Source organism: Homo sapiens (assembly GCF_000001405.40).
Source record: "Homo sapiens chromosome 17 unlocalized genomic scaffold, GRCh38.p14 Primary Assembly HSCHR17_RANDOM_CTG3".
Taxonomy (NCBI): Eukaryota; Metazoa; Chordata; class Mammalia; order Primates; family Hominidae; genus Homo; species Homo sapiens.
The window spans coordinates 49,620-59,092 of NT_113930.2; the positions used below are offsets into that span (position 1 = coordinate 49,620).

The 9,473-nt window shown below is 37.7% G+C and overlaps 2 pseudogenes across 1 annotated transcript; both read right to left on the minus strand.

Moving 5' to 3' along the window:
* LOC100287188 (VCP nuclear cofactor family member 2 pseudogene) lies at window positions 1,519-2,065 on the minus strand (annotated as a pseudogene).
* Window positions 5,238-8,347, minus strand: MGC70870 (C-terminal binding protein 2 pseudogene; annotated as a pseudogene). Its single transcript, NR_003682.1, has one exon. The product of NR_003682.1 is annotated as a C-terminal binding protein 2 pseudogene (transcript).
* Window positions 8,348-9,473: the final 1,126 nt, after the last annotated feature.

Consider the following 9,473-nt stretch of genomic DNA (forward strand, 5'->3'; position numbering starts at 1 on the left):
GCAAAAGAAACTACCATCAGAGTGAACAGGCAACCTACAAAATGGGAGAAAATTTTCACAACCTACTCATCTGACAAAGGGCTAATATCCAGAATCTACAATGAACTCAAACAAATTTACAAGAAAAAACAAACAACCCCATCAAAAAGTGGGCAAAGGACATGAACAGACACTTCTCAAAAGAAGACATTTATGCAGCCAAAAAACACATGAAAAAATGCTCATCATCGCTGGCCATCAGAGAAATGCAAATCAAAACCACAATGAGATACCATCTCACATCAGTTACAATGGCAATCATTAAAAAGTCAGGAAACAACAGGTGCTGGAGAGGATGTGGAGAAATAGGAACACTTTTATACTGTTGGTGGGACTGTAAACTAGTTCAACCATTGTGGAAGTCAGTGTGGCGATTCCTCAGGGATCTAGAACTAGAAATACCATTTGACCCAGCCATCCCATTACTGGGCATATACCCAAAGGACTATAAATCATGCTGCTATAAAGACACATGCACACGTATGTTTATTGTGGCATTATTCACAATAGCAAAGACTTGGAACCAACCCAAATGTCCAACAATGATAGACTGGATTAAGAAAACGTGGCACATATACACCATGGAATACTATGCAGCCATAAAAAATGATGAGTTCATGTCCTTTGTAGGGACATGGATGAAATTGGAAATCATCATTCTCAGTAAACTACCGCAAGAACAAAAAACCAAACACTGCATATTCTCACTCATAGGTGGGAATTGAACAATGAGATCCCATGGACACAGGAAGGGGAATATCACACTCTGGGGACTGTTGTGGGGTGGGGGGAGGGGGGAGGGATAGCATTGGGAAATACAACTAATGCTAGACGACGAGTTAGTGAGTGCAGCACACCAGCATGGCACATGTATACATATGTAACTAACCTGCACAATGTGCACATGTACCCTAAAACTTAAAGTATAATTTAAAAAAATAAAAAAAATAAAAAAATAAAAAATAAAACAACTGCCCATTTTACCATCTCTTCAGTCCTTGACAAGCACCATTCTAACTTTTTTTTCCTATGAGTTTATCTACTTAAGATACCTGATTATGAATGGAATCATAGACTGTCACTTTGTTCCTGGCTTATTTCAATTAACATGATCTTCTCCAGAATTATCATATAATGTGTCTTTTTAAAGACTGAATAATATTCGACTTTGTGTATGTGCCACTTGTTATTAATCTGTTCATTGGTCAAGGGACATCTGGATTGTTTCTGCCTTTTGGCTTGTGTTAATAATATTGCAATAAATTTGGTTGTGCAAATATCTCTTCCAGATCTGCGTTGTACATTTTAAGTACATAGCCAGAAGGGGGTTTGCTGGATTATATAATAATCTCATTTTAAATTTTTTGAAGAGCTGTCATACTATTTTAAATATCGGCTTGAGGCCGTAGATTATTGTGACTTTGCTTTGCATTTTTCTAGAAGAGTGATGTCGAGTATCCTTTTATTTTTTATTTTTTTAATTTCATAAACATTTATTCACAGCCCCTTTAAAAGTATAGCAGTGAAGTAAAACCCCAATTAAACTACTGCCCATTAACTTGTTACTTAAAATTTAGACTTAAAAACCAATAGACTTTTTTTTTAGTTTGTATGCAATTACTTTTATAAACACAGTTTAGGTTGGAATAAGGAAGTCCTAATTCATCATGTTGGAGCTTGCCCTCACTGCTGCAGGCTGTTGAAGTGAGCCTCCTTCAAGGTCTGGTTGATATGGGAGTAAAGACCTTGGCATGGTACATACCCCTCATGCAAGAACTGGGGAAAGTTTGCATTGGGTTCAGTAACAATCTGGTTTAAGTTGCTTTCTGGTCCACCTGCTCTCTCTGGGATATTAAGGCGGCTGCTGCTCCTTTCATTATCACTCCATGAAAACTGTGTCTTGAGAATCCTGAAAGATAGGGTTTCTCTTATTCCTTTTGGGCTGGGTGGAATGATGGTTGCCCTCTTTACTGCCATTTCTTCTTATTTTCCGTACAGGGCAGCCTCCCATAGTCCTGCCCTCGGACGAGTATCCTTTTAAATACCTAGTCATTTCTATGTCTTCTTTGGAGAAAGGTCATTTCAAACATTTACCATTCTAAATCAAGTTATTAACATTTTGTTGTTGTTGAATTTTAGAAGTTTATATCTTTTGGAAATTAACACCTACGAAATATGTGATTAGAAAATATTTTTACACTTTTTTGTTATATGTATGTATGTATGCACATATATTACCCTATACAAGACAGGGTCTTGATATATTTTCATGGCTAGTCTCAAACTTTTGGCCTCAAATGATCGTTCTGACTTGGCCTCCTAAATTTCTAGAATTATAGGCATGAGCCAGCATGCCCAGGTTTCACCCACTTATTAGGTGACATTTGTATGCCACTAAATTTTTCCTTGATGTGTAGAATACTTGAAGGTTAATGTAGTTCCTTTCTTTTTTGTTCTTTTCCTTGTTTCTTATGAATTTGATGTCATACTTAAGCAAAGTTTTAAGACTTATGTCATAAACTTTTCCCCTATGTTTACTTCTAAGAATTTTATTAGTTTTTATGTTTAAGCATTAAATCCATTATAAAACAACTTTTCTTTTTATGTATAATACAAAAGAAGCATCCAACTTTATTTTTGCTCTGTAAACATTCAATTTTGAAAATTCTTTGTTAAAGAGATTCTTATTTTTCTATTGCATGGTCATGGAAAGCATATGGAAGATTATTTTATCACGTATGCGAGGGTTTATTTCCAGGATGTCTATTCTGTTTCATCATCTATGTATCCGTTTTTGTGGCAATACCATATTGTTTTTATTTTTGTAGCTTTGTATCATGATTTTAAATCAGAAAATGTAATAACTCTTTGTCCTTTTTAAAGGGTGTTTGCCTAGTCACAGTTCCTAAACAACTTTTAGAATTATACACAAAAATTCTGCAAAAAAAATACCATTGGGATTTAGATGAAAATTACATTACATTTTTATATCATCATGGGTAATACTGACAACTTTTTTTTTTTCCTTTGGAGATGGAGTTTTAGTGAGTCACTCAGGCTGAAGGGCAGTGGTGTGAGCTGTGCTCACTGCAAGCTCTGCTTCCCATGTTCAAGCAATTCTCCAGTCTCAGCCACCAGAGTAGCTGGGATTACAGTCATGCACCAACATGTATAGCTAACTTTTGTATTTTTAGTAGAGATAGGGTTTTGCCATGTTGGCCAGGCTAGTCTCAAACTTCTGATCTCAAGTGATCCACACACTTTGGCCTCCCAAAGTCCTGGGATTACAGGCATGAGTCACGTGCCGGCCCTGACATCTTAACAATATTAAATCACCTGACACTTGAGCAAGACTATATGTAAGATCTTGCTTAATTTCCTCTTATTTACGTATCTGAAACATTTTCTTGCTTTTGATTTCTAGTTTCATTTACATTGCATGACTTCAGTTTTCTTAAATTTAATAAGACATGTATCCTAACAGAATGTGCCATGTGTGATTGAGAATATTGCATATTTTGCTGCTTTCGATCGCAGAGTTCTGTAAATGCTTGTTAGGTCTATAATGTTCAGGTTTGGCTTTCTTACTGATATTACATCTGACTATTCTAGTCATTATTGAAAGTGGAGTCTTGGAGTCCGCAATTGTTGTGTTGCTATATATTTCTTGCTTGACTTCTGTCAATATTGGTTTTACATATTTGAAAGACGAGAATCAGTTGAACCTGGGAGGTGGAGGTTGAAGTGAGCCAATCGCGAGATCGTGCCATTGTCCTCCAGCCTGGGAGACAGAAACTCTATCTCCAAAAAAAAAAATAAGAAAGATATCAGTGTTATTTATAGTAATATAAAAATTTAATGTAATTTTTATCAAAATCCCAATGGTATATTTTTGCAGATTTTTCAAATTATATATATGATTTCTAAATTATTGTTATGGATTTCTTGCAAGTTAATCCATGTCACCGTTACTTAATAACAATCTGTCTCTTTTTAAAATTTTTAACTTAAAATATATTTTGTTTAATATAATTATGACCATGCCCCTCCAATTGTAGCTACTCTTTGCATAAAATATATTTTCTTTATACTGCTACTTTCAACTTATTTGGGTCCTTAGAGCTAAAATGACTCTTGTAGAGAGTACATTGCTGGATCTTCTTTGTTCTTAATCCATTAAATCATTTTCTGCATTTTGTTTAAGGTATTTAACTTTTTGTATTTGAAGTAATTACTGTAGTTAATGAAGTTACTATTATTATTTGGAATTGTCTTCTGTGTTTCTTGTAGATGTGTTATTTATCATTTTTTTCTCTTACTGCTTTATTTTTCTTCATTGATTTTGTAGTGACATGATTCAGTTTCTTTCTCATTTGCTTCTGCATACCATCTACAGGTTTTTTTGTAATCATCTTGAGAAATAAAGACTTCATAAAACATCTTAAAGTTATGACAATATATAATGACTATATTTCAATGGAATGCAAAGCTTTACCTCTTTATACCCCCACTTTGTTATTAATATCACTTGTTATCTTTTCTTATTGAGTATCTATGAACCCATATTTATGCAGCTTTCTGCTTCATTTTTTAAATTCCATAGCAATAACGTGAAAGTTTTGTGCACCATCATTATGACAGTAGAGGTTTCTATAGCTGTTTATGTATTTACATTTAATAGAGAGCTTTCTATTTTCATATGCTTTTATGACGCTGTGCAGCATATATTGTCATTTTTGGACGTGATAGACTTTCTTTTACATTTCCTTTAGCAGTGTTCCAGTGGTCAGTAACACACTCAACTTTTATTTGTTTTGGAAATGCTTAACTTTTTTTTCTGAAGTGAAATTATTCCAGTTGAAGGTTTTTGTTTAGCATGATTTCTTCTTGTTTAATTACCTTGTCATCTAGGGAGTTCTCAGCTACTTTTTAAAAATATCCTCTTTATTATTTTTCTCCTATACTGTTTTTCTAAGACTCCTTTTATAAATACAGTGGTCCACTTGGTGGTGTGCTGTAAGTAAGTCCCAATTTTCATTTTTTCTCTATTCTGTTTAAAAAATTTGTTTTCATGAATCAGTATTTATAAGTGCAATGTTATCAACTGTCTAATTTTTTCTGCTTTATTAAATCCACTTTTGTGACTGCTGATTAAATTTTTAATATAGTTACTGTGTTCTTCAGAGTCACAATTTTTCTTGGTTTTTAAAAATCTTTTTATTGATATCTCGTTTTCTTCATGCATCACTTCTAATATTCTTTTGTTGTCTATGTTCTGTTTTTGTTCATTAAGCACTTTTTTCTAATTACATTTTAATGTAATTAGAATGTCCACCTTTACAATACACAAATACAGTAACGGTAACTCGCACTAAAACAAAGCATACTTCTGATAGCCATTATTTTTCTCTTTGGGACAAATTTAAAGTTTTTCTTTTGTCACAAAAACAGGAATGTACTTATACAAAGGCTCAAAATAGGCCATCTTTTTAAACAAAAAGGCAATGATTCACAAAAGACTATGAATAGAACATGTAACTAATTGATACAAATCTAATAGGATTTGTTAAAATCAGCCACATCCAATACATCTGAAGTGTACTTGTATAAAATATCACGTGAAGAAAAGAAGACTTTATCAATATCTTAAAAAGTGGGTTTGTTCATAGTCTGACAAGTTACCATTAAAAGTGTTTCCTGTGACATAAGGAAATGCAATATTATTTTTCTTGAACCCTTTCAGCGCAAGACTTTCCACTCAATAAAATCGCAGAGGATCTGAAACTGAGAAAATATACTTGATTACTAACAACTTGTGAAACTTAATACTTTTTTTTTTTTTTTTGCATCATCAGCGGCTTTTACTGAACTTACAACCAACTTGCCGCTCAATATGCAGCTCAGATGTGAGAGACGCGTCTCTGTACAGGAGCCGGTACTGTCTTCAATCCTTTGCATGCAGGTGTTTACCACAGGCAAACAGTTTACTCCACATTTTCTAGTAATGTAATCTTCCTATTAGCAAAAAGCGGTAACCAGTCCCTGTAGACTGAAGGGACTCCAGTCACAGGATGCGGATTTCCTCTTCATGGTTTTTATTTTCATATTTGAACTGCTGATGCAACATATAAGCAGGGTGTTCAGGACCTGCTGTGCCTAAGGGACTGATAAAGGGAAAAGTTCTATTTATTCTTTGTGATTTGATGCACAGATGAAAAACTTAACACACAATAATAGAAGTTGGGCGTTAATAAATCACACCCTAGTCTTTCAGAGCTTCCGTAAGCAGACGACATTGTCAGTTTTCTAGCTCTTGTTTTAACACTGCAACAACAATGATGCATATGTCCGGAATCAGCTAAAAAGGCCGTCAGATTCTTTTTCTCTTAGATTATCTATTTTTCACTGTTCCCAAGTATATCTGAATAATTACCTTCCGGCATTCTCTGCTATTGCTCGTTGGGATGCTCTCGACTGTCCCCGTGTTTTGTGGGCTGTTGGGAGAGGGCCCTTGGGAAGGATGTACCACTGTTGGGAGGTTGTCAGTCACTGGGATGTCTCCAGGGATGATGTCTTCCCTGGCTGCAGAAGTCCTCCTGGAGCCACGCCCACCATGCCTGGCAGATATCTGTAGGTAGCACCACTGAGCTCAGGATGAATTTCTTGCTGGTTTATTACGGACCAAAGCGCTGATGTGACAAAGAATTCCTTGTTCACACAGTTTCTTAAGCTTCCCGGGATGCGACTTATGATGGCTTGGCGGATCTCAGTGGCAACTGCCTCGCTCATCTCCAGTGACACCTGCTGGCTGTAGCAGGCAGTGAGAGGAGTGCAGATGAGATTCCAGGCATCTTTCAACAGACCCCGAGCAAAACTAAAGGGCTCCGACTCATTCACGTCGAGGGCTGCCCCTCGTATTCTGCCCTCCTTGAGGATGTGTGCTCAGGCTTTCTCGTCCACCAGGCCACCACGGGCTGCGTTCACAAGGAATGCTCCCTGCCTCATCTGCTTTATAGTAAAGTCATGGATAAGGTGGTAGTTTTGTTCGTTGAGATTGCAATGCAAGAAGACGCAGTCGTTCTGATACAGCAAATCCTGCTGGGTGTAGACCCTATGCACACCCAGGGACCGCTCGATCCCATCCTGCAAAGGCCTTGGCTCGAACTGCAACCTCCTGCTGCGTGCGACCGAAGCCGATGAGGCCCAATATCTCCCCACGAATGCGAGCCTTTACTGAGGCCACCTCGCCAATCTGCTCCACGCTCTGAACTCGCGTGCCTTCCCTCAGTGCCTGGTACAGCGACCTGTTCCCCCAGTACAGATTGAGGATGTGGCCGGTGGTGGAGTCGGCTGTCTCTTCCACGGCTGCGGACGGGATGCTGCACACAGCAATTTCGAGCTCGCCAGCAGCCTTGATGGCCACGTTGTCGTAGCCACTGCCCACCTGCACGATCACTCTCAGGGCCTTGAAATTTTCCAGGTCTTCCCTGGTGAGGGAGAAGGTGTGGTACATCATGGCGCCCACGACTTCGTTTAGAACTTTCTCGTGGATCTCCTGCATGGACTGAGCCTCACAGAAGGCCAGGTGGCCAGGTCCTTCAGGATGGGCATGTCCACAGTGCAGTCCCGTCCATCCAGCAGAGCCACCACGAGGCGGGGTTCAGGGTGACTTTCATGATCTGGGGGCGAATTCCTCACAAATTCTGTCCAATCACTGTCTCTTGACTTAGCGCTTATCCACAAGGGCCATTCTTTAGGGAAATTTGCAACTCTCAGATCAAAAGGCAAAGCAGTCCTCTAAGAACTTAGGGGAACTCGCAGGAGTCTGCGTGCATGACGCCACTATGAACCCAATATAAATTTGTTCACAAACTCTATAGTTCACACGATGGGTTGTCCGTCTTTTTAAGGGAATACAGCTTCTTTGGTTCAAAACCATTTAAGGTGATGAAACCCGTTTGCTTGCAACTCCGCCACAATCGCGCAGCCACCAACGAATCTCACCACGACCCCAGGCCGAAGCCGCCTCCATTCCCAGGGATGGCGGACTCCGGGCGCTCTAGACCTGGGGTCGTGGTGAGATTCTCCCTTGGATGCCCCTGTTCTACAGTAAAGGAAATATCTTTGGAATGTAAAAAGAGAGAAAATAATAGGCATCACCCCAATAGGCAATAATGAACAAATAACAAAGATGAGAGGTGCAAAGGCCAAGGAGGAAACTTTAAAAATGTGATGTGGGAAGTTCGCTTCAATGAAATTGGTTCTGGAAGATCCTAGATTTACTTCTTTTGCTGCCACAGATGGACATTTCCTACCCTATGCTTATTATGCTCCTAAATCTTCTAAGGCTCCTCCTGTCCCTCCACTAACATTCCAGGGCATTCACAGTGACAGCCGAAGTTCTCCTCTTCTTTCTGTTATTCCCTTGAAGGCCTTGTGGTCTGAGTGCTTTTCCATTGTTTTGGGGGATCTGGGGAAATCTGCACATTTTGCGAGACTTCTATATTAAGCTATTTTGTAAAAATCTGTTCCTCATGTCAGAAGTTTGTGAGAGTAAAAGTGCAGGCATTGGGGTTTGGTTCACATATTTCAGAAACACCAAGGACAAATGTTTCTGCTTCATAATTTTCAGTCCTATGATTTCAAATGTGATCCTGCAAAAAAATCGGAAAAACTTTTATCAGAGCCCAAAACACCTCAGCACATATGATATAGTGAAGCTTCTATTTCACTTTATTCTTTTTTTCATCTCTGGTAATGTAGGTCAAAAAGTTTTCTTTTCCTTGGTAGAAATTAACTTAAAAACGTGAACTCTCTATGCCAAGCACCTCACCTGTGGAATAGTTTATTGTATCTACTCACCTCAAAGAATTTTTAAAGACCTTAATGCCATAGAAAAACTTAGAAACCTGCCAAGAATAGAATAAATTCTTAATTGTTACATGATTTCTTATTGAGTTATTTTATTATTTAATCTTATATAAAGCTTAGTGGGACTGTGATCTGCACGTTTTCACTTTTTGATTTTTATGTATCCCAAATTAGCCTATAATTTTAGCTTCAGGGATTTCAGAATAGCATACTTGAATTTATGTGTTATATAAAAAGTGAATTACTTAGTATGCACCTCACATTAATAAAATTTCAGTTTGTGTGTCTAAGTTTACTGCATAGAAAAACTTATCATTAGTGTTTCTATTAACTTTCCTCAACATTATCTGAATGATAGTATAATTTATTTCTCATTGCTTATTATGTAGTAGTGTTTCATTGCATATTTTTCAGTATTCATGTTGTTCCCATATTTAAAAATGTAAAGCTTTTCTTTACTTAAAAAAAAAAACAAATTATAGGCCAGTGCGGTGGCTCACGCTTGTAATCCCAGTACTTTAAGAGGCTGAGGTGGGTGGATCACAATGTCAGGGGTTCAAGAC